The sequence below is a fragment of the Homo sapiens genome, chromosome 9 (genome assembly GCF_000001405.40).
Source record: "Homo sapiens chromosome 9, GRCh38.p14 Primary Assembly".
Lineage (NCBI taxonomy): Eukaryota > Metazoa > Chordata > Mammalia > Primates > Hominidae > Homo > Homo sapiens.
Window position 1 is genome coordinate 110,364,683 of NC_000009.12, and position 25,738 is coordinate 110,390,420.

Below are 25,738 nucleotides of genomic sequence, written 5' to 3' on the forward strand. Positions count from 1 at the left end.
ATTCTCTATACGCCAGGACTACTTTGACTTACTGTGAAAATATAAACCTTTCAGCCTATTCAAAGTAACCCAATACAAATTCCACTTTGAAGGTAAACTTATTTAGTAGGTACTTTCAGAACTGAGTGTTGTTTCCAATTGCTTTCTTAGCTTAATTTTTTCTGCTACTATTTTTTTTTATTACTCAGATTTGGGGCTGTATTTTGTTTTCTTTTCTTTTTGAAATAGGGTCTCACTTTGTGTGAAGTGGTGCGATCTGGGCTCACTGCAGCCTCGACCTCCCAGGTTTAAGCAACCCTCCTGCCTCAGCCTCCCCAAGTAGCTAGAACTACAGGCATGCATGACCATTCCTGGCTAATTTTTGAATTTATTTTATTATTATATTATTTAGTTTTTAGAGATGGTGTTTCTCCATGTTGCTCAGGCTGGTCTCGAACTACTGAGCTCAAGCTATCTGCCCACCTCAGCCTTCCAAAGTGCTAGGATTATAGGTGTGAGGCATCACACCCGGCTTTTTTGGCTGTATTTTTGTTTTTATGATTATAAATGACAAAGATCAACAAGGTTTGGAAGTTAATGGACTATGAGTAAATTTATTGGAAAGTAGACTCATAAGCATGTAAGACTGGCCAAGAAAGTGAATGTCAAGAGAAAGAAGGAGGAGTCAATGGCTGAGGGATGCCTACGGTAGTGAAGAGAACCACTAGGAGAATCAAGATCTCTTTCATCCTTTCTGCATTCCTCCACAGTGCTACAACACACTCCAAGGCCTGTGTGGGAGCAGTTTTCCCAGAGGATGGAGGCAAGTTGATTCTGAGTTTCCTATTTTAAAACAAAATCTAGGGTTTGACTTTATTTTCTGAAGTCTGGGGAAGGCTTCATCTTGGTACAATTGTTGTGATAGAGGTAGGTGACAGTGAGGACTGAGGGGCAGCTCAGCTTTCTCTTAGGTGGCTGCAATTCTTTTTTGCAGGTGAGACCAGGAGCACAGCTCTGGGGAATGTTTCCCATTTGCCTTTTTCCTTCTCTTTCCCTGTCTTCCCCTTCCTCCCAAAATAGTGAGTTGTGGGATTACCAGTCCGGGTATCAGCTCTTTGTTAATCTTCCAGTTCTTGCATTTCTTATTCCAGCCACGAGAAAGAAGGCTAGCACTTTCATTGTGAACCAAGGTCATTATGCTGTTTCTCCACATCCATGAAGTTAATGCCTACGGCTTTTCAAATGTTGTGAAAAGAATTAGCCAGGCTACCCTAAGTACCAGGACATAATTATGTGGTGGAGAGTACCAGGTCCAACAGTTACTCTCTGATTGATTAAATGAAAGAAAAAGCTTTTATTATTACACATATTGTATAGAAGATGGAACCAGAACAAAGGGGTCTCCTTTATTGTAAGGGGTCTCCTATGTGGTGCCAGTGGCACAGATGAAAGATCATGAGTCCTCTCTATGAATCCCTTGGCCACCTCATAAAATGGTACTATCCAGCAAAATATTATTTAGTAGCAAAATATACTTTAATGGAAAAATCATTTTAAGTAACTGAATAAAAATGTGTACCAGGAACTTTCCCAATAGACAGCAGAATATGTACATTTTGTGAGGGTAGAGCAGCATCTATTTAATATAATTTTTATATAGAAAATACAGGCATATTTAAAAATGGAAACATGTAAGAAAGTATGTCACAAGGAATAACAAAATATATCACAAAATAAAAAAAGTAACCCCAAGTAACAAGTTTACTAAACAAGACCCAGCACCATGTTGGACTTTCTTTGCATAAGTTCCAGGATGCCCAGGCACTACCGAGGAGAGATGATCCTGCTTTTGGGAGAGCCAGATGGTCGTGCAGTGGTTAAAACCCAGTCCTCCTTTTCCTGGAAAAAAAAAAAAAAGCAACCAAATAGATTCAAAAGAAAAAATTGAACTGAAGAGCTAACATCTCTTTAGGAGTTGATGAAAACAGGATTGAAAGTCCCAGATACCTGGGCATTATCTGTGATGTTTATACGGATGGGGGTCATTCTTTGAGATAACTAAGAGGCATGGGAAACAAGTGCTAACTTATGGAAAGATCTGAGAAGCATCAGACCTGAGTTTTACTCTTGATTCTGCCACTAGTTTTCTATCTATCTTACAATTCTCTCTTCTGTAAAATGAGGGGTTTGGAGCTAATGAACCTAAAGGTCTCTTAGTCCATTAACAATCTATGGTTTTTCATTATGATATTTGCTTAGGATCAGTTTTCTGAAGATGTGCACAGAGGTCAGAGGAAACACAATTTCCTTCTGAACAACTGAATTATCTGGAGAAAAGGCCAGGTCAGTCTTATTTATCAGTAGAGAAGGTAAACATTGAGGGATTTAATGGATGCCACAAGGCATTTCTCTACCAACTGACATTCATGCCAGGAAATTGCTCCATCTGTTAACAAACCTTTATTGAGCAGCGACTTTTGTGCCTGTACAAGGCACTAGGCATATATATATATTTTAAAACAAGATCTTACTCTGTTGCCGAGGCTAGAGTGCAGTGGCACAATCTTGGCTCGCTGCAACCTCTGCCTCCTGGGTTCAAGCAATCCTCCCACCTCAGCCTCCTCAGTAGCTGAGACTACAGGTGTGTGCCACCATGCCTGGCTAATTTTTCTGGGTATTTTTTGTAGAGATGGGATCTTCCTATGTTGCCCAGGCTGGTGTTGAACTCCTGGGCCCAAGTGATCCGCTTGCTGCCTTGGCTTCCCAAATTGCTGGGATTACAGGTGTGAGCCATCACACTCAGCCCAGCATACAAACTTTAAGGCATTCAGTCTCGTAGGAGAGAAGGAAAAACTTATACGGTAACATTTATTGTTTATTTCTCAGACAAGCACTCTTCCCCCTCCCACTTTCTTTTCTTCTGGGAATTGCCAGACTCTCCTCCCTTTTACCCAGTTTTTTGCCAAAATTACCCTTTATGTTGGTACAACATAATCCAACCTAGGACATTGATTCATGCTTGGCCATTGAATCAATCTGGACCAATCAGAGTCCTGGATTTTTAAACTGGGACAGTGTACTATGTCTCCGGATACTGTATGGTGACATGTAAAAAATTCTGTAAGAAATTTTGTCCTGGCCAGGCACGGTGGCTCATGCCTGTAATCCCAGCATTTTGGGAGGCCAAGGCGGGCAGATCACTTGAGGTCAGGAGTTCGAGACTAGCCTGGCCAACATAGTGAACCCTCATCTCTACTAAAAATACAAAAATTAGGTGGGTGTGGTGGCATATGCCTGTAGTCCCAGCTACTCAGGAGGCTGAGACAGAATCGCTTGAACCCATGAGGTGGAGGTTGCAGTAAGCCGAGATTGCACACTGCATGCCAGCCTGGGCATCTGAGTGAGACTCTGTCTTAAAAAAAAAAGAGAAATTCTGTCCTTCCCTTCCACATGAACTAAACAGAAGAAAACCACTCTGTAGCTAGACAGGATGGAGGAGACCCTGGAAGAGGTGGTGACATGGGAGGTGGAGAGGTACACGTGGCTTTCAAGTCCCCAGTCTGGTCCTCCTGATGCTCAACCACTCCTCTGTCCTTGGGTTCCATACAAGGTCCCTCTATTGTGATAATAAATTCTCTTCTTTGCTTAAACTAGTTAGAGTTTTAGCAAGAATTACAGTATATACAGGAGGAGGAACCTGTCTGGTCCTCTGGGTTGCTAGTTAGCCTTCCCTTGAAGGTGAGCTACACCTCTCAGCTTAATTTGCCATTATTTTTCTTGGATGCCTATATCAAACTTTTGCGTAAAAAATCTAGATCTTGTTTTCCTGATTAATGTACAGTATTTTAATACATGCTAATAATTATCCTTTCCTCAATCAAGAAAGAACTCCTATCGACAGTTTTTAAATCATGCAAACTCTCTCTGGGCTTTTCTTTATCTGAAAAATGAAGAGGTTGAAATATAAAATCTAATATTATAAAAAAGTACTAAATACTTCTTTTTTGAGTCACTGTTTTTTCTCTTTTATTTCCTCTCTTTTGGCTCTCATTTTCTTAAATTCAGCTCTGCTCTCAGGTAAAGGTATAATCTTGGCAGCTTCTAAATATATTTGTCCATTTCAAATTTGCTGTTTAGGGTTCAGTTTATTTTTTCTCCTTTTGCAGAGATGGCATATACTTGAGATGATGTGAGGAAATTCACTGGCATTAGACAGATTTTTTTGTTGTTGTTAGGTTTTACTTTAATTGCTTTTTTATATTTGCAAGTTGACTTTGACATTCCAATCAAAATAACAAATCAGGAAATGAAAAATAAAAGTTTTCAGTTAACTGAATTTTTCCCACTTTAAAAAATGAATATGGAAATACCCATTTGTTTTTAATGAGTCCTATATGGTAGGGGTAAGTGTACATAATACAAATCTAAGTGCAGTGATATATATTGAAAGTCTTAAAATATAGCTGATAATATTTCAACATTGCAACATTGGTGAGGACAATGTTTGAATATTGAAAATATTTTATCTGTGGTATGTCACAATATGGCTGATATTTTCCTGATGTTTAAAAAGTTATAAATGATCTTTTAAGTATTTTCCCTTTGACTTGTGATAGTATTTTTAAACTGTGATATTTATCTGGTCAGAAATAAGAAACCGATGAAAAAACATATTTTTACATAATCTTTTTGTAGTCAATGAAATGCTACGCATAGAAACACTAAAATACAAAATATATTACTTTAAAATAAACGTTTCTTATCAATTCAATACTATTTTTATTGTAATGAAGAACTTAAACATCTATTGGGTCATTTTCAATAAAATTACATTGAGTTTATTTATTTTACATCCTTGCATCTGTAGGATGCAATCTTCTGTTCAAGAAGTTTATTTATTTATTTATATAACCGATTTTTTTTAATTGCAAAAACTGTGGAATGCTTCACAAATTTGTGTGTCATCCTCTAGCATGGGTCATACTAATCCTCTCTGTGAAGTTCCAGTTTTAGTATATGTGCTGCTGAAGTGAGCACAAGACTGCTTATTTTTGAGATATTCTTGTTTTGTCAATCCTGAACTAATATTTCTTAGCTTTGGCTTTAATTCAAATTTAGAGAGCCTGTCTCAAAATGGATGTTTTCACATACAAAATACTTACAGTCAAACTAGACAGAGATAACTTCTGGCTCTTAGGACAATTTACTTGAATTTTAGAGTCTTCATGTTATAGGCGAACATTAGTTTTTGGTTATCTTACCTGGAACAGTTATGTCCCGTCCAAGAAGAAAGACAGTGACATCGGTTTGGTCTTACACATTTTCCACCATTTAAGCAGGGAGACTGGCAAACAGCTGGAATAAAAAACCCATGCATTTATTTAATTAATACTTAGCAATTCTGATGATATCCATAAAGGCACGTAGGATAAGATTTGACTCTACTTCCTGCAGCAGCCACTGCTGGTCTTCATATACCGTTAGCATTATCCATTTCTGCTGTTCTGCTTGACTTCACATCCTTATGTGGTACCACCTCCCTTTTTCCTTCCAAGCTGGTCAATTTTCACATTTAAGTCCCAGATTAAGTTCTACCTACTTATTGAAGCCTTTGCTGATCACTCCAAGTCCACTGATTTTCCTCTTCTCTAATCTCTTTTAATTTATGCAACCAATCTGACACTTTGAATGTTTTGAACTATAAATTTTTTTGTGTTCAATTAGATTGTACATTTCTTTCCACTGACTTGAAGCTCAAGATTGTAAATTCCTCGAGGGAGTTAGCATTGAACTCTATGATTGATTGGGTGATTAAGTCAGACGTCAACTTTTATGATAATAAATTAGGCACATGGATTGTCTAAAATAACAGATGATTCAACATCCCTTTGTGTTTGGAGAGGAGACATATTTCACGGCTTTTGTCAGCTTTAACTAGAATTACAGAAACTGGTTAGTCACAGATAAAACCCTGAGAGGACACTGAAAGATTTACTATCTAGGTGTTTTTCTCACAAATCCATAATCTCATAACCAAACTCTTCATCTGCATAAATGTATTTGTTAAAAAACCTGAAGATGCTGGTATTTGGTCTAGATGAATTTTTAGCAAGTGTAACATATCAAAGAGAAAGGAGAACTCCCTGTAGGAAGGAAATAAAATGTCTGTTGGGAGAAAGCTGGAAGTAAGAACCATTCCAATATCTGTAGCACAGAAAGGCAGGCTCTTTCCTGGATGAAAAACTTATAATTCACCATTGTACGTATATAATATACATATTTTTGGTGAATTATAAGTAAATGTCCTTTCTTCAGTCATTCATTCATAAAATATGGAGAAAATGTCTGCTAAGCAAGTAGTAGGCACTTGATAAGCACTGGTCCTTGTCCAGAGAGAACAAGAGAAGACAAGTAAAATACGTCTTTCCCCTTAGGGAGCTCTCTTGGTAAGTTAAGAGTAAGAGCTGGCCAGCAGAATACACTTATTAGCAATCTAATGGGAAAGAAAATTATGAAACAAATCAGGATTAAAACAAGCAAAAATAAAACTCAATAATTGAAAACCAACTCCCCATAGTTTCTGCTTGCTGATATAAGAACACGTTACTCCTTTTCAGGACTATGCTGAATTAGCAGTGCCTGACTGCACTAACAAACTAGTCATTACATTTACTTCCTTGTCTAAAAGCTTAAGCCTCCTTCCCTATCACGTCGGTGGTCCCAGTATTCCACTCAGGGCCACCTTTTCATGTTGCGTGTCTTCTGCAGTGTTATTTTTTCCTCCCGTGAGTATTTTTCAATGATGACTTATAAATCTCTATCTTCATCTAAATGCATTTTCTGGGAACCTAAACTATCATCCAACTGCTTATCACTTCCCTTGTATGTTTCTGCTTATCACTCCCCTTGTATGTTTCACAGTCCTCTCAGACTCAGCGTGTCCATACTTAACTCCTTATCTCTACTCTCAAGCTTGCTTCTCCTGGCTTCTCTATCTCAGTAAATGGCAACACCTTCCACTCCAGTGCCCAAGCTGGAAACAGCTTTTAGTCTTCCAAGTAGTATTTGGCTCCTCACAATAGATCTGTAACCAAGTAGCGTTGATTCTTACTCTTTAACTGTCTCTCAAATCTGCTCTTTTGTGGTTGTTTCTCCAGACTTCACTAATTCTTGCCAATTCTGCTTTTACAATCCCGCAATGAATCTCTCTATTGTAAGTCTTGCTTTCTTCCACTTTTCATACTGCTGCCAAAATCAGTTTTCTAAAAGAAAATCCGATCACATGATTTTCCTGCTTAAGATCCTTCAGTGGCTTCTGTTGCTCTCAACACATAATTTAGCATCTTGCACTTCGCATGTGATGTGTTTCCTGATCGGATGCTGCCCATCTTTAGAGCTTCATTCCAGCCACTCCCCTGCATTTCCTCTATGGCTTTGGTTATCCTTTGCTGAACACACCTGTATATTTTGTGGTCCATGCCTTTAGCTGCAATGATTTTCTTCTGGGGACTCCTTTTGTTTCTCCTCAGATTCTATGCTTCAGTAGCTTTTTCTGAACTTCAACATTTGGTTAGTTTACCCATTTCACTGTTGTCATAGCCCCTCTTATAGATTTTGATTAGCCTCTATCTTAACACGTCCTAGTTATCTATTTATAGGCCATTCCACATCCCTTCCCCTTTCCTAGATTGAAATTCTGGAGGGCAGGAGCCCCTGTTTTATATGGTTGTGGTATGCTTAGTACTTAGGGGTGTAACTATGCTGAGGTAGCTGCTGTAAGATTTGGCAGAACGAAGGCTATAGAGTTCAGTGTCATTAGGAGCATATTCTTATTAGAGAGCTAAGGTGTTAAAAGAAATGCAAATAAATCAGATCTATTTATTAGCTTTAAACTGCATGATTCTAACTAGTTGTGTAACGTTTATAGAAATGGAATGTTAGAAAGTAGATTATTGTGATATTGAACAAGTTTAGAGATCAGAGGAAACTTAGGCAGGACTTGGGGGTTGAGTGAGGCTAGAATAGGTGGAGGAAAGAGGAAGATCATTGCAAATGTAAGGAGATTGGGGAGGAGAAGAGGCTGCTTGCAAGGGTAGTGAGAAAACCGTCACTGCAGGGCACAGTGTGTGATGGTAGGATAACAAGTGAGTTGTGCTTCAGCTGTGCTGAAGCTGGCTTATGCAGCACCTTGGAAGTCAGAAGAATTCAGGGTGGATGTGGAGACTAAAATAGAGAACCATTTTAGCCTCTTAAACATGGCAAAGACATGCCAAAGTAGTACATTGATGATGTTCAGTCTGGAGGGACATGGAGACAAGAAGGTCAACTAGGCCATGATCCAGAGTCTTTTACTGACTGGTGACAGTGGTGTGGAGTAGAATGTGAGAGATGCTGAGCAGGAAGGAACAAAAATAATGATGGTGCTGTAACCTCAGATGAAAGGGAGGGTGAGTCAAGAGTAATTCATTTATTACCTGCACCAGTAAGGTACCTGGAAAAAAGCAGAGCTTGTTTATAGATGAGCAGGAGAAACGTGGGTAAATAGCAAAGTTGATTTGTTATAAACAAACACTATATAGACTGCTTTCAGAGTCTCAAATAAGGCCTTCAAATTCAGCCTCCAGGACATATTTCCTTCTCTACATTCATGAATGGCTCAATTTTGGCTTTAGGTAGGGTGACGACTGCACATCTGCTTTTGTCTGTAACAGTACTTTTCAGTCTCATTTCTCTGGTTTACTTATTAATAGTGCCTCTTTTACTCTCAAAAATGTCCTGGTTTGGAAGCTAAATTATATGGTCTTTCCAGCCTTAGGGTTCATGACAAGCTCTGGTGTTAGGAAGCCCTGTCTATACTTTACATGCCATTTATGTTTTACTCCACTGAGGAGGTGGTATAAACATTGTTTATAGGAGGAATAGTGGTATGTCAGAATTAATACTTCATAAATATAGCAAGCCCTATGTTTTAAGTGGTGGCTTAAAATTTTAGGACACTAGAAGGTAGTTTATCATTTTAAATTGAGTTATTTGACATTTACTAAAAATATCTACTATATTTCGGCACTATGCTAAGCACTGGGGATATAAAGATGATAAAAAAAAAATCCTTGCCCTCAAGTGGCGTATAATCTAGTGGGGGAAGGGATAGATAATCAAGCAATTGAACAGATGTCAAAGTATAGTGGGCCAAATGCTGTATTTGAGGTCTGCAAGAGGTGCTAACAGGATGTTTTTTACTAATCAATCAACTACCATTTGTTACTGTTGTCCATGATAAGAAACCATCTCTTTGATGAGTTTTGTAATATTTTTCCATTTCTTTTCCTTTAAACTTTTTTTTAACTTTTATTTTAGGTTCAAGGGTACATGTGCAGGTTTGTTATATAGGTACACTTGTGTCATGGGAGTTTGTTGTACAGATTATTTCATCACTCAGGTACTAAGCCTAGTTCCCAATAGTTATTTTGTTCTGATCCTCTCCTTCCTCCCACCCTCTACCCTCAAGTAGGCTCCAGTGTCTATTGTTCCTACGTGTTTACGTGTTCCCATCATTTAGCTCCCACTTATAAGTGAGAACATGTGGTATTTGGTTTTTTGTTCCTTTTATAAGGATGATGGCCTCCAGCTCCATCCATATTCCACAAAGAACATGATCTCGTTCTTTTTTATGGCTGCAGGGCTATTACTAAAAAGTAAAAAAATAGGCTGGATGCAGTGGCTCATGCTTGTAATCTCAAAACTTTGGGAGGCCAAGGTGGGTGGATCACTTGAGGTCAGGAGTTCAAGATCAGCCTGGCCAACATGGTGAAACTCTGTCTCTACTAAAAATAGAAAAATTAGCAGGGTATGGCAGCAGGTGACTGTAATCCCAGCTACTCCAGAGGCTGAGGCAGGAGAATTGCTTGAACCTGGGAGGCAGAGGTTTCAGTGAGTCAAGATTGCGCCACTGCAGTCCAGCCTGGGTGACAAGAGTGAAACTCTGTTCTCAAAAAACAAAACAAAACAAAACAAAAACATGCTGGGGAGGTTGTGGAGAAAAGGGAACACTTATACACTGTTGGTAAGAGTGTAAATTAGTTCAACCATTGAGGAAAGCAGTACGGCGATTCCTCAAAAACCTAAAAACAGAACTACCATTCAACCCAAGCAATCCCATTACTGGGTATATACCCAAGATAATAGAAATCATTCTACCATAAAGACACATGCTCGTGTATGTTCATTTCAGCACTATGCACAATAGCAAAGACACGGAATCAACCTAAATGCTCATCAATGGTAGACTGGATAAAGTGTTTTTTTTTTCATTTTAACTTAAATTGTATTTATGTATAACCTTGTTCTTTCTAAAGAGTAAGCATGAATTTAGTAATTTAGCTTCTTAGAGATTAAAATAAGTATTATTCTGAACCTCTGTGTAATGTCTTCTCTATGCTCTGCAAAATGAAGCAGATGACATAAAGAAGACAGATAATTGAGTAGACTTAGATGCTATTCTTCGGCACATGACCTGGAAACGTGTTTAGGCAACCATAAAATTCAGTGTTGAGACACGAATCAAGGGATCATCTTGAGGAATTTTTGAGAAACATCAGTACTTTTTCATTTTGCCACCACTTCTGAGTCTAAGTCACACTCTTCAATGTCCTCTGGAGTTTCATGGGCCTGAGCCACCAAGAAAACAAACCATGAAAGAGGCCTACCTGTATGACAGCGAGACCCCGTCCAGCCAGGCGGGCAGTCACACTGGTAAGGGGCCACACAGCGACCTCCGTTCAGACAGGGAAGAATGCAGATTGCTAAAAAAAAAAAAAAAAAAAAAAAAAGGAGGCAGGGGGGATTGAAATGGCGTTGATCAAAGTACACATCTTAGATAGGTTCAAGGGTTCAGAAAACATTTTGCAGGAGTGAAACCTTATATGACTCACTAAATAAGTTTCCTGCATGTGTTCTGCTTATTAATGAGTATCATTGGGAAAATACAATCAGGAAAGTAAGCCTGGATTCTTAGCCACATGTAATGACTTTAAGGCCAAATCCACTTTCAGTGAAGACACTCCGTAATCAGTGTCTGCAAAGTGCTTTGCTTTAACTCTTCACAAAATAAGCAGAACGGTCTCCATTTATTATAGTTTCAAATTTCCATTACAAATTACATAAAATGTTCTAAGAGGATTTGGCTGCCTTGAGGCTCTTCCTGTCTTGAACTAAATGTGAGAATGGGAATCAGATAGGCTGTAACATAGGGTTGGAGTTTGCAACATTTTGGTAGCAATGGGACAACACACCCTTTATTTCCGAGAAGCTGAGGACTGACGGTGACTGAATGATGCCTCCCGAACCCTGTTCATGACTATCATTCCTCCTCCTAGAAATCACTGAAATCTTTAAAGAGGCATAGTCTGTTTAAAAGATGTGAGTTTGTTGCTTTGCTCCCCAAAATCAAGTTCCCTAACCCCAATAGTCTTTGCATCACCTAGGAGTTGGTTAGCAATGCAGATATCAGGTACCAACTCAGATCTGCTGATCTCCCAGATGATCTGTATGCATAGCAAAGCTTGGGAAGCACTGGTATAATGAAGGAGGGCAGGCACATGCTCAGTGAGCCAGACCAGCTAAGGCAGCCAAGCCAGACCTGTCGTGGGGTACCCCAAAGTCAATGCTTACTAAGTCTTTGGACTCTTGACATAAGGGCAGGCTAAGTCTGGGAGCTCTAGGTGAAATGGAATGATTGGGGTGAGCTGGAAGAGAAAAGTGTGATTTCTCTTCTTTTTTAATCATTTGAGAATACTTGTTTTGGTGAGTTGTTAGCAGCCTAAATTTATTTCCATCATACATTTTCCTTTATAGATTAGTTGAAAAAGTCACACTTAAAACATTTTAGTCTCTTATAAAATTCCTGCCCTGTAGGAAAAACTGGTATAGACCAATGGCCATCACATGAATCACTCTTAATGGTTTACATACACTGCTCCTGTTGAAATATGAAACCATTTTATCCTTATATATATTTTAAGATATTGAAATAAAGTGTAGTTGAGATATTTAAAAATTTAACATCACTATCCATACCTCCCTGGAATTTCAAATTGTTTCTATAAGGATCAAAATTCTATATTAATTTACCAAGTATGGATATAGGAGTGCCAGCTTTTCTTATTTTCTTAATGAGTAGAAACTATTCTTAACAACAAAGAGGAAATGGTGAGCTGCAAATATTACCTGCAAAGTACATGTTTTGCAGTGGTGCACGTTTATACCAACTGCAGCAATGACTGACATAGCACATAGTAGACCTTGAGTTAAGGGAAGAGGATAGCTTGGAGACTTTACAACAAGCTCCTTCTCAAGAAGACTTTTGCAAATTTGTGCCAGGGAACATGTGAAAATGACTTTAGATGGATCTTAATAACAGTATTTTCAAAGTCATTAATATTCTAGATCTTCTGCAACCTGTTGACACATATGTGCTCTGTTTGGTGTGGACAAGGACTTACAGCAAATGAATTCTTCCCAACAGTACAACCATTTCCTGGTAACTCCCCTCAGGTGGGAGCATCCAGGCAATTTGTCAGGACTCAAAGTAAGATCTGAAGAGCAACTCACGTTCTTCACAGAGGCGCCCCATCCAGCCCTCTGGACAGGAACAAGCATTTGGGCGTTGGCAGATGCCCCCATTCTGACATGGAAATCGACAGACAGCTGGAAAAGAAGCAGGATGGGTCACAAATGTAGGGAATTATGAAGGGAAGGAGTCAGAAAATAGAATTGCCCCTTTATATCTCATACTATTTCCTTGAGTCAAGCTTTCAGGAAGAGAGACAAAAATCGAATCTCAGGAGGGAATTTCAGTATGTGGAGAAGTACAGCATTTTATTGGCTGCTATTATTTCAGTTTTCCCTGTAGCTTTATTGAGGTGCAACAAATAAAAATTGTATATATTTTTTACAACCTGATGTTTTGATTTATGTATAGATTGTGAAATAATCACCACAATGGAGCTAATTAGCACATTCATCCCCTCACATAGTTATTGTTTTCTTTCTTTCTTTTTTGTGGTGAGAACACAAGATCTATCCTTTCAGCAAATTTTCAGTATACAATACAGTATTGTTAACTACAGTCACATTGCTGGACATTAGAACTCCAGAACTTATTCATCTTGCATAACTGAAACTTTGATACCTTGAGCAACATCTCCCTATCCTCACCCCCTCCCAGCTCCTGGGAACCACCATCTACTCTCTGCTTCTATGAGTTTGACTGTTTTGGATTCCACCTATCAGCAAAGTCAGGCAGTATATGTCATTCTGTGTCTGGCTTATTTCATGTAGCATGATGTCCTCCAGGTTAGTCCATGTTGTTGTAAATGGCAGGATTTTCTTCTTTTGCAAAGCTGAATAATATTTCATTGTATCTGCCTATTTTTATCTGCATGTCTATCTAATCTATCTTCTTAATCATCATCATCATCATCTATCAACATACATTTTTTTATCCATTTATCTGTCAACAGACATTTATGTTGTTCAATATCACACACACAACACTCATTCTGACTTTAGACTTTAAGTGAAGTCTGGGATATTCCTTTAAGATGTCCCCCCTCAAAAGGCTCTACATTCTCTTACATCCCATGTATTGGTGATCTCACTTCTCATTGTTGCTGCCAGACAATGAGTCCTCTTTCTCTTGCAATAGCCCCTGTTTCTTTTGAGGCTCATGCCATTCATCCATTGACTTCCTCAATCTTCCCTGCTTCACCAGTTATTAAAGTCCAAATCTGTTTTTCTTGTAAATTTGTTTGAGTTCATTGTAGATTCTGGATATTAGCCCTTTGTCAGATGAGTACATTGCAAAAAATTTCCCCCATGCTGTAGGTTGCCTGTTCACTCTGATGGTAGTTTCTTTTGCTGTGCAGAAGCTCTTTAGTTTAATTAGATCCCATTTGTCAATTTTGTCTTTTGTTGCCATTGCTTTTGGTGTTTTAGACATGAAGTCCTTGCCCATGCCTAAGTCCTGAATGGCAGGTGGGAATTGAACGATGAGAACACATGGACACAGGAAGGGGAACATCACACTCTGGGGACTGTTGTGGGGTGGGGGGAGGGCGGAGGGATAGCATTAGGAGATATACCTAATGTTAAATGACGAGTTAATGGGTGCAGCACACCAACATGGCACATGTAGACATATGTAACAAACCCGCATGTTGTGTGCATGTACCCTAAAACTTAAAGTATTAAAAAAAAAAAAAGTCCAAATCTGAACAGTTTGTGGTCAACTCATCCAACAACTCAATTATTTAGTTCCTTGGTTTTATCTGTGTGTACTAGCGTACTTCTCGACTTCTAGCAAATATTTGTAGAATGAATGAAATAATTATTATGATGTATAAAAATCATATTTTATTATAAAAGTGTAAGTTTTAGAAGGATATAATACTAGGGTGCCTCATTACCTCTTTCTATTTTGCAACATTTCAAGCACAGAACCTAAGAGTTCTATGTGCTTTTAAAACTCAAACCATAACATTAAAAGAAAATTACACAGCTGCTAAAAGAAATTTTAAAGCCAAGGAAAAATAAAGTAGTATGCATATTAATTGCTGGACAAATCAGATTTCTATACACATTTCCCTGCAGTTTCACTAAGAAATAACCATTCAAATATTTCCTTACCTCTGCAAATAGGAGGTGATGTCCATGTTCCATTTTCTAAACAAACACTCCTCAGGAAACCCTCCAACATGTATCCACTGTAACATGAGTAGGTGATCATGTCTCCATATTGATAATGTACGCCTCGAGCAATTGCATTTTCTACGTGAGCTGGTGGACCACATGAGATTTCTACAGGATAACAAAACAACAATTAAGCTTGTGCTATTAACACAGACTGAGAACACAGTCTCATCTCTCAGAATGAATTAAAGAGCAAAAATAAAATACATAAGGGAAACATTTTCACCTACTTATCTAGAATAGTAAGAACTAAAAGAATTAACTGCTGCTGTTGAGAAAAATTGGACACACAAAGATCAAAGGTTTTTTGTCTTCTGATTCAAATGTTGAAGGTGAGCCTGTTTTAAACCTAAGGAAAGCAGTCTGTAGGACACCAAGAATTAGCTCTTGTACCTCATCAAATAAATGGCTGCAAGAGACTTTCAAAACAGGATGCTTATTAAATTAGGAGAGAAAGCATGATGATTGTAGTCTACTGTTTCAGAGTAAAGATCATTAATTGTAGTACTGCATATTGTATCAGGGCTATTTTATTAATGCCTAGCATTTATTAGTGCCTAGCATGCAACATGCTCTTGAAAATGAGTCAGTGAATGAATATTGTCTCTAGTCTATAGATGCTCAGTGAATACAACTTGATGAGGTTTATGAAATTCAAGGTTTCATGTTAGTTTTCCTCTTTTCAATACTGTAAAAGAGTGACTTTCTGCTTTTGGGATCTGTGATAGATTGGATGACAATCCTCTCTTTTAAAAGGGACATATGCGTATATTTAAATAGAAATTTTTATAACTGATATTGTTTTGAGAATTTTACAAGAAGCCTCAAGATAATTAGAATTATTCTGTGGTGGGCAAGGGTTAGATTGGTGTCAGGATTCTAATCAGAATCCAGTTTGTTCAACTTTTGAATGAAGAGTCCTTATAAGCCGGCGTCTAAAAGATCACTTTGTTGTCATAATACTACCATAAACTTGTTAGAGGAGATAATAAATTTGTATGATTTTTCTAAAATTTTTTCCCCTCTAAGGTGGACAAAATGCCTACTATGCAACAGAAATCAGAAGGAAATAAATGAATTATGTTTATTGATTTGCATATGTTAAACCAGCCTTGCATCCAGGGGAAGAAGCCAACTTGATTGTGATGGATAAGCTTTTTGATGTGCTGCTGGATTCGGTTCTCCGGTATTTTATTGAGGATTTTTGTATTGATGTTCATCGGGGAAATTGGCCTGAAGTTTTCTTTTTCTTGTATCTCCATCAGGTTTTGGTATCAGGATGATGCTAGCCTCATAAAATGAGTTAGGGAGGAGTCCCTCCTTTTCAATTGTTTGGAATAGTTTCTGAAGGAATGGTACCAGCTCCTCTTTATACCTCTAGGAGAATTCAGCTATAAATCTGTCTGGTCCTTGGCTTTTTTTGGTTGTAGGCTATTTATTACTGCCTCAATTTCAGAACTAGTTATTGGTCTATTCAGGGATTCAGCTTTTTCCTGGTTCAGTCTTGGAAGGGTATATCTGTCTAGGAATTTATCCAAGGGTGCATGTGTCCAGGAATTTATCCATTTCTTCTAGATTTTCTAGTTTATGTGCATAGAAGTGTTTATAGTATTCTCTGATGGTTGTTGTTTGTATTTCTGTGGCATCAGTGGTGATATTCCCTTTATCATTTTTATTGTCTATTTGATTCTTCCCTTTTTTTAATTAGCTAGTGGTCTATTTTATTACTTTTTTCAGAAAAACAGCTCCTTGATTAATTGATTGTTTTGAAGGGCTTTTTGTGTCTGTATCTCCTTCAGTTATGCTCTGATCTTGGTTATTTCTTGTCTTCTGCTAGCTTTAGGGTTTGTTTGCTCTTGGTTCACTAGTTCTTTTAGTTGTGATGTTAGGGTGTCAATCTGAGATCTTTTTACCTTTTCGATGTGGGCATTTAGTGCTATAAATTTCCCTCTTAACACTGCTTTAACTGTGTCCCAGAGATTCTGGTACATTGTCTCATTGTTCTCATTGCTTTCTGATTTCTTCCTTATTTAATTATGTACCAAGGAGTCATTCAGGAGCAGATTGTTCAATTTCCACGTAGTTGTGTGGTTTTGAGTTTCTTAATCCTGAGTTCTAATTTTTGATTGAGCTGTGGTCTGAGAGAATGTTTGTTATGATTTCAGTTGTTTTGCATTTGCTGAGGAGTGTTTTAGTTCCAATTATGTGATCAATTTTAGAGTAAGTACTGTGTAGCAATGAGAAGAATGTATATTCTGTTGTTTTGGGGTGGAGAGTTCTGTAGATGTCTATCAAGACCACTTGATCTAGAGCTGAGTTCAAGTCCTGAATATCCTTGTTAATTTTCTGTCTCGATGATCTAATATTGACAGTGAGGTGTTAAAGTCTCCCACTATTATTGTGTAAATGTCAAAGACTCTTTGTAAGTCTCTAAGAACTTGATTTATGAATTTGGGTGCTCCTGTACTGGGTGCCTATATATTTAGGATAGTTAGTTCTTCTTCTTGAATTGAACCCTTTACCATTATGAAATGCCCTTGTCTTTTTTGATCTTCGCTGGTTTAAAATCTGTTATGTCAGAAACTAGAAATACAACCCCTATTTTTTTCCTGCTTTTCATTTGCTTGGCATTTTGTGTCTTTTAAGTGGGGCATTTAGCTCATTTACATTTAAGGTTAGCATTGTTATGTGTGAATTTGAGCCTGTCATCATGATTCTAGGTGGTTATTTTGCAGACTTGTTGATGTAGTTGCTTCATCTTGTCATTGATCTTTGTACTTCAGGGTGTTTTTTGTAGCGGCTGGTAACAATTCTTCCTCTCCATATTTAGTGCTTCCTTCAGGAGCTCTTGCAAGGCAGGCCTGGTGGTGATGAATTCCCTCAGTGTTTTCTTGTCTGAAAAGGATTTTATTTCTCTTTCACTTATGAAACTTAGTTTGGCTGGCTATGAAATTCTGGCTTGGAAATTCTTTGAATATTGGCCCCCAATGTCTTCTGGCTTTTAGGGCTTCTGCAGAGAAGTTTGCTGTTAGTCTGATGGGCTTCCCTTTGTAGGTCACCTGGACTTTCTCTCTGGCTGCCCTTAACATTTTTTCCTTCATTTTTACCTTGGAGAACCTGAGGATTATGTGTCTTGGGGTTGATCTTCTCATGGAGTATCTTACTGGGGTTCTCTGGATTTCCTGAACTGGAATGTTGGCCTTGTTTTGCTAGGTTGGGGAAGTTCTCCTGGGTGATATCCTGAAGTATGTTTTCCAAGGTGGTTCTATACTCATCTCTTTCAGGTACCCCGATCAATCATAGGTTCGGTCTTTTTACATAATTTCATAGTTCTCAGAGGTTTTGTTCATTCCTTTCATTCTTTGTTCTCTAATCTTGTCTGCCTTATTTCAGCAAGATAGTCTTCAAACTCTAAAATTCTTTCCTCCACTTGGTCCATTCAGCTATTGATACTTGTTGCATTGTGAAGTTCTCGTGTTGTGTTTTTCAGCTCCATCAGGTCATTTACATTCCTTTCTAAACTGGTTATTCTGGTTAACGGATCCTGTAATGTTTTATCCTGGTTCTTGGCGTCTTTGCATTGGTTTAGAACATGTTCCTTTAGCTCAGCGAACTTCATTATTACCCACTTTCTGAAGCCTACTTCTTTCAATTCATCAATCCTAGCCTCTGCCCAATTCTGTGCTTTTCCTGGAGAAGTGTTGCAATCATTTGGATGAGAAGAGGAACTCTGGCTTTTTGAGTTTTCAGTGTTTTCTTCATTGATTTTTTTTCTCATCTTCCTGAGTTCTCCAGTTTTGATCTTTGAGGTTGCTGACCTTTAGATGAGGCTTTTGTGAGGGCTTTTTTGTTGATGGCTGTTGTTGTTGTTGCTGCTTTCTCTTTGTTTTTCTTTTAACAGTCAGGCCCCTCTTTTGTAGGGCTGCTGTGGTTTGCTGGGGGTCCACTCCAGACCCTATTTGCCTGGGTCGCACCTGCACCTGAAGGTGTTACCAGCGGACGCTGCAGAACAGCAAAGATGGCTGCCTGCTCTTTCCTCTGGGAGCTCTGTCCCAGAGGGGCACTGACCTGATGCTAGCAGGAACACCCTTGTATAAGGTGTCTGGTGACCCCTGTTGTGGGGGGGTCTCATCCGTGACCCCTGTTGTGGGGGGGTCTCATCCCAATCAGGAGGCATGGGATCAGGGACTCGCTTAACAAAGCGCTCTAGCTGCCCCTTGGCAGAGCAGGTAAACTGTGCTGTGGGGAATCCCACTAGTCCAGCCTGCCTGGATTCCTCAGAGCCAGCAGGGGAAGGACTAAGCCTGCTGATCTGTGGAGACCATGGCCACATGGAGCCCCAGGGGCTCCATCTCAGGGAGATCAGAGGTCTGTTCATAAACCCCTGGCTGGAGTTGCTGAAATTCCCGCAGGGAGGTCCTGCTTAGCGAGGAGGAAGGAGTCAGGGTCCAGCCTAAAGAGGCAGTCTGGCCACGATCTGTCACAGCTGCTGTGCTGCACTATGGGGAATTCCTCCTCTGTCCAAATTGCCCAGTCTCCCTGGCACCAGCAGGGAAAAAAAAATGGTAGACTGGAGCTGCAGTGATGGTGGCCGCCTCTTCCCCCAGAAGCTCAGTCATCTTAGGCAGCAGGCAGCCACAGTGACAGTGGCTGTTCCTCCCTCCGATAACTCAGTAGTCTTAGGCAGTTTTCAGCTGAGTGGCCGCCAAGAATCTACACAGCTCTGTGCTTGGGACCTAAGGCCCTGGTGGCGTGGGCTCATGAGGGGGATCTCCTGATCTGCAGGTTGCACAGATCCATGGAAAAAGTGTGGTTTCCTGAGTGGGGTAGCACAATCACTCACCACCTCCTTTGGCTGGGGGTGGGAGCTCTGCTTGCCCCATGTGGCTCCCAGGTGGGCCGTTGTACCACCTTGCTTTTTCTCGCTTTCTGTGGATTGCGCCAACTGCCTAGTCAGTCCCAATGAGAGAACCTGGATACCTCAGTTGCCGGTGCAGGATTCACTCACTGTTTTTGTTCTTCTCGGTGGGAGGCTCCGGCCACAGCTGTTTCTAGTTGGCCATCTTGAACCCCTCCCCGCAAAATAAACATTCTAATACTGCAATAAGCTGCTAGCTGAAAATTCAGGGACTTGGGCTGTTGTGTATATCTTCCTATTAGGAAATATTGCTAATATGCACCAATTCACTTATTCTTCAAATCTATAAGAAATCTATAATAACTACAAGAAAGATATAATTGAGACTCTTAACAAATGACAGCCCTCAGACTCAGAGAAGTAAGGCACTAGCATAAGTTTAGAGTTAAACATTTTGAGGACAGAATTCAAACTCAGGTCTTTCTGATTCCAGAATCCCCATGACCTTCACAGGCATATTTCTTATCTCATTAAGTGGCGTGCAAGTGTACTGAAGATGAAGACCATTGTAGGCATGATACATTCTTACACTATGCAGCCTTGTGCCTTGCCTCTGGTCGGACTCAATGAATATGTTAATTGATTACTGTAGAGGTAGTAGCTTGGACAACAAATGAGCCTGGAGGGCAGGATGCTGGCAGGGGGATTTTTATTTTTATTTAGTTTTTGAGATGTAGTCTTGCTCTGTCTCCCAGGCTGGAGTGCAGCAGTGGTGCGATCTTGGCTCATTGCAACCTCCACCTTCCAGGTTCAAGAGATTTTCCTACCGCAGCCGCCTGAGTAGCTGGGATTACAGGTGTGTGCCACCACACCCAGCTAATTTTTGTATTTTTAGTAGAGACAGGGTTTTGCCATGTTGGCTGGGCTGGTCTTGAACTCCTGACCTCAGGTGATCCACCCACCTCAGCCTCCCACAGTGCTGGGATTACAGGTGTGAGCCACCGCACCCAGCTGGCAGTGAGATGTTTTAAATGGAGTTAAAAAGTGTGCGTTAAAAAACGTTGCGTTATCACAAGGCTGAAAAAGATGCCTCCAGATTGCATAAATGGAGTAACAAAGCGCTAACCTATAGTGCTGGTGCTAGCAACGTAGTGCTTGCTAGTGGTTCTCAGATTGTTTTTTCTGGGCCAGCAGCATCCTCATCAGCAACATCTAGAAATGTGTTTTAACAGGTTCTCTAGGTGGTTCTGATGCAGGCTCAAGTTTGAGAACCACTGTGGAATAATTTTTCTGTTGCAAAACATTCATAGTCTGTTAAAGGATAGTTTGGGGACTCTGACAGTGTGGAGAAAAATTTGTATTTTGAATTTAATACCTTGCTCATTCTTAGAGGAGCACATTTTGAAAATCTGTTCAGGTGGGTTTTAGTTTAGTTCTGGAAAGCTTTTTTTAAAATGTTTGAAATTCAAAGATTAAAAGAAATTTACAAACATTAATGAGGAAGATGATAACTGTGATAGCACAGAGATCTAAGTATCTACAACTAAGTGACTTGATTGAAAACAACCTCACAGGGATGGGAAAACATTTCGCACTAGCGGCATGAACTGGCTTCCGCCTGCTGACTTACTTTCACATTTGGCGCTTGTCTGTGTCCACGTCTCGTCGGGGTTGCAGGTAATGATGCCGTGGCCCTGCAGCAGAAAACCTTCCCTACATTTGATGGACACATTCTGATCAACATAAAACTCCTTTTCAGACAGCAGAGCATTCTCGGGAATCACAAAAGGAACAGGGCATGGATTTGCTGTCAAAAAGAAAAGAAAATGCTTACTGATATTTCCCCTCTTTTCCTAATGTATTTCTTTGAAGGTGGAGTAGTAGTCCTATAAGAGATGGGTTCTCAATAATGATCATATAAGGTTTAAAAATATGGAACTCCAAACATTAGACACAGACTTGTTTTGCATCCTCATGAAATTATGTGTAAAGATAAAGCCAGATAAGATCAGAAAACATGAAGTTATTCAACCACTAATGCAAGGTCCTAAAAGTTGAAGATGACAATTTATGCCTGAAATTATGGGCCACAACATTATTTTAGACTGAGTTTTTGATCAGCATTGTGAAAACAAAAGGCATACTAGAAATCAAGGGGTATATCAAATATTCCCTTATTTGAAGAATATCAAATGCTTCTCATTGTCACCTTACTTTCTTTTATTGAACATCCTTCAGGAGGATGGAACCAGGAAACCATCAGACATTTCTATGTGAGCTGAATGTGACTTTAGACTCATACTGCTATGGGCAGGATATTAGAACTAGTGGAGTTTGCATGTTTTATTGATAAAGATGGATTCATTGTTATAGGCCCGAGGGAAACACAGGAAATGATGATGGCATTATGCGTGCTTAGCGCAAGTGTGTGACACACATGTCAACACATATTTCAAGCAATTTCAGATTTTTAAATGGGCATAAAAGTATTTGAGTGAGGTACACTTCCGCTGTTACTACATTATGATGATACTTGAAACAGTTAACAAGAGCAGTCTCAACTTCTACGTTGCTTGTGAATATTGTTTTCATTCGAATGGCTATAACTCATTATCTTAATTTATCATATTTATATATACTTCATTATATTAACATCACATATTAAATGTATTTTCTTTCATTTCTTTCCCTATCCCCAGTAGAATTCATGATACATCTTTCATTTCTTTCCTATCCCCAGTAGAATTCATGATACATGTATGTCAAAATTTTTTCATTAAGTTGCATTTTCTCTTAGTAATCACTCATGGAATCTGACAAAAGCTGATTCTCAGACAGGACTTAGATAACACAAACATATTTTTAAAATATCCCAGAGAATTCAGCTTGGATAGGCATTAATTGCTTTCTCTGGGCCCATATCCCTTATGAGTGGAGCTTCCTCTATGTTTTGGATATGCGGGAAGCTAATCGTGAAACTGAATCTGATTAAAATTTCTCCTAAAGGCAACACACACGTTTGCAGAGAGGGACTGGGTGGCTCCAGGTTCCATTTTCTGTGCAGTGTGCCTCAGATGGCCCTTCAAGACTGTAGCCTCTGTTGCAGGAATATACCACGTTGGGTCCAGTCGTCCTGTTTTCAATGTCAGCTTTCCCATTGAGAAATTCAAGTGGAGTTTCACACCTGGTCTCTAAAAACAAGAATAAAAGCCTCATATTAATTGCTTCCCCAATTCCTCTTTCCTTCTTTTCCTATGATTGCCAAAGATATTTCATGGAATATATAAAATATTATGGCCTACTCATGTGTGAAGCACAGTGATATTCATTGAAGGAGAAAAATATAGCATACCTAAGTATTGGATTAATACATGCATGCAATTAAAGATTGGGAGTTAGTCTTATTGACTCCAGCTGTCTTTATGTATTATTAATAATGCTGGGGACAGGGAGTATGGATGAGCAGGTGGGTAAAATAAAACAATCTCATTGTAAGTTGCTAACAATGGCCAAGAACTTTTCAAACAATACTAAATTTATTTCTTACAACACTTAAGTTGTAAGCCCAAATAAAATAGAGGATGCCCTGTTAAATTTCAGTATCAGATAAATAACAAATACATTTTTAGTATAAGCGTGTCTCCGATATTGCATATTTATAAGTTTACATTTAAATTATTTTTCATCTGAAATTTAAATATAACTGCATGTCCTGTATTTTTGTTTCTTCTAAATCTGGCAACCTTACTTATAGCAACTCTGAGATTATCTCATGTAACAGTTGGCAAAAAGTGAGGCTTAGAGAAGTTAAATAATTTGGTCAAGGTCATACTGCTTGTAAGAAGAGATAAAATATAAAATTATCAGAAGGTAAAAGACAATAAGAAAGTATAAAGAACAGGGACCCAAGAGCTTGTGGGGAATAGAATAAATGACATTTTATATGGCTTTTGAGGAATATGCTGACTTCATAAACTGGTGAGTATTATAGTAAAGTTATAAAGAATGATTTTGCATTATTGTGAGAAATGTTATTAACAGGGATGCTATGAGGAAAATAGGATCACCCTTTCAAGAATCTCAAAAAATGGGCTTGAGTCTTAATTTTATAATTTTTGTGAAGGCAGAGAAGGTGGTTCTAGACTAGTGCTTCTCAAGTTTGGCCGTACCTTAGAGAACCTGGGAAGCATTTATGGCCTATCACAGACCAAATGAGTCCAAATCTTTATACTGAGGGCTACTTTTCAGTATTATATTAAAAATTCCCCAAACAATTCAAATGTGAACTCAGAGTTGAGTCCCTGGACCAGATGCTAATGGACTTCTTTCAGCCCAAAGTTGAGTATGCTGAGATCACAGATCTTAACCTTGGCTGCACTTTGAAACCACATAGGGAGCTTTAAAATGCTATTGATGCTGTGCCGGGCATGGTGGCTCATGCCTATAATCCCAGCACTTTGGGAGGCTGAGGAGCATGGATTGCTTGAAGCCGGGAGTTCGAGACCAGCCAGGCCAACATGGTGAAACCCCGTCTCTACTGAAATACAAAAAATTACCCGGGCATGGTGGAGCATGCCTGTAGCCCCAGCTACTCGGGAGGCTGAGGCATGAGAGTCCCTTGAGCCCGGGAAGTGGAGGTTGCAGTGAGCTGAGGTTGCACTACTGCACTCCACCCTGGGTGACAGAGTGAGACTCTATTTAAAAATAAAAATAAAAATACATAAATACATACATACATTGTCCTTTGGCAGAGAAGGGAATACTGGGGATAAAGTTATGTGCATTAACCCACATTTTGCCAAATAAACTTGGTTGTTCTCATAAAATGAGTTAAATTCCATGCAAAATATTAATATTAATTGATTTGACAGATGGACCAACAGCACGTTAAAAGTATTGGCTAGTACTGTCACCAAAAAACAACAGCTCTTAGCCTTCTAATTTATAATTATTTGAGAAAACCCCCCCAAAATGCTAATAAACTCAATAATTAACTAGTTTTTAAACAAACTGTTTGCCATTCCAGAGTCAGTAATCTTGTGTCCTATTGCAGTTAATTGTTAATCCCTACTACAGTTTTTGACCCTTTTATTGGTTTACTGCCCTTGAGAAAAAGCCCATTAAAAGGTTCTCATATGGCTTATGGAGTTGGCTTACATTTTAATTACAAAACTAACCTATAAAGAAAATGTAGCCACACTGTTATTTTGTGTCCTCAGTGTCATTTTGGGGGCTGCTAAGTGTCATTCAACTCACCTTTGCATATTGCCACCCCTCCACTCCACTGTCTGTTCTCCTGGCAGACACGTTCCCTGTTCCCCTGTGAAACAATGGAGAAAGGTCATCAAGATCATAACTCTACAATAGAAAGATAATAAGGAAATGCAAAGTAATCTTAGCTATGGCCTTGAATCGCTCAGCACTGGAATGCTAAATAAACATGTTAAAAACATTTTTGAAAGTCTAAATCTACTCCTTAAACTGTATTTATTTATCAAATTGCTTCAAAATTCACACTCTGGCAGACCGGTATAATTAAGGTACAGACTTTGCTTCACCTTTTATTTTAAACGGCAACTAATTATAATCTGTAGCTAAGACTGACAAAGAATGCATTAGAAGTAGTCAAATAGTAGTATTCTTAGAAATATATGAATCATAGTGTATCATAATATATGTATATACACACACATACACAATAGAGTACTATTTGGCCATAAAAACACATGTGATGTATACACATAAGTGTGTGTGTGTGTGTATATATATATAAGTATATATACACGTATATATATAAGTATATATATATACGTGTATATATACACATACATACTTATATAAGTATATATACATACATACTTATATAAGTATATATACAAGTATATACATACATACTTATATAAGTATGTATGTATATATACACTTATATAAGTATGTATGTATATACTTGTATATATACTTATATAAGTATGTGTATATATACTTATATAAGTATGTATATATATACTTATATATATACATACTTATATATACTTATATAAGTATGTGTATATATACTTATATATACACATACTTATATACACTTATATATATATACTTATATCTACTTATATATATATATACTTATATCTCACATTTTCTTTATCCATTCAT

The 25,738-nt window shown here is 38.6% G+C and overlaps 1 protein-coding gene and 1 pseudogene across 1 annotated transcript in view, besides 3 other annotated features; both read right to left on the reverse strand.

Moving 5' to 3' along the window:
• Window positions 1–565: 565 nt before the first annotated feature.
• The window catches only part of SVEP1 (sushi, von Willebrand factor type A, EGF and pentraxin domain containing 1), a 214,494-nt gene continuing 189,321 nt past the window's right edge, over window positions 566–25,738 (reverse strand). Inside the window, exons 41-48 of the mRNA NM_153366.4 lie at window positions 24,842–24,905; window positions 22,603–22,776; window positions 21,216–21,392; window positions 14,665–14,835; window positions 12,589–12,684; window positions 10,686–10,781; window positions 5,241–5,334; window positions 566–1,878 (exon numbers count right to left, since the gene is read on the reverse strand). Of these exons, the coding sequence (NP_699197.3) occupies window positions 1,857–1,878; window positions 5,241–5,334; window positions 10,686–10,781; window positions 12,589–12,684; window positions 14,665–14,835; window positions 21,216–21,392; window positions 22,603–22,776; window positions 24,842–24,905 (894 nt within the window). The 3' untranslated portion in view covers window positions 566–1,856. The remainder of the gene's footprint in view (window positions 1,879–5,240; window positions 5,335–10,685; window positions 10,782–12,588; window positions 12,685–14,664; window positions 14,836–21,215; window positions 21,393–22,602; window positions 22,777–24,841; window positions 24,906–25,738) is intronic.
• On the reverse strand, window positions 4,910–5,016 carry RNU6-1039P (RNA, U6 small nuclear 1039, pseudogene; annotated as a pseudogene).
• Window positions 5,087–5,381: a silencer, noted in NCBI's record as "tiled region #12709; HepG2 Repressive non-DNase unmatched - State 24:Quies". NCBI's record gives its function as "represses a minimal TATA promoter and a strong SV40 promoter by Sharpr-MPRA in HepG2 cells {active_cell/tissue: HepG2}" and the evidence as "EXISTENCE:reporter gene assay evidence [ECO:0000049][PMID:27701403]".
• Window positions 7,497–7,666: an enhancer, noted in NCBI's record as "experimental_104987 CRE fragment used in MPRA reporter constructs". NCBI's record gives its function as "activates a minimal promoter by MPRAs in K562 erythroleukemia cells, with activity observed for the introgressed 9:113134544 variant allele {active_cell/tissue: K562}" and the evidence as "EXISTENCE:reporter gene assay evidence [ECO:0000049][PMID:34662402]".
• Window positions 12,736–12,905: an enhancer, noted in NCBI's record as "experimental_105021 CRE fragment used in MPRA reporter constructs". NCBI's record gives its function as "activates a minimal promoter by MPRAs in K562 erythroleukemia cells, with activity observed for both the introgressed and non-introgressed 9:113139783 variant alleles {active_cell/tissue: K562}" and the evidence as "EXISTENCE:reporter gene assay evidence [ECO:0000049][PMID:34662402]".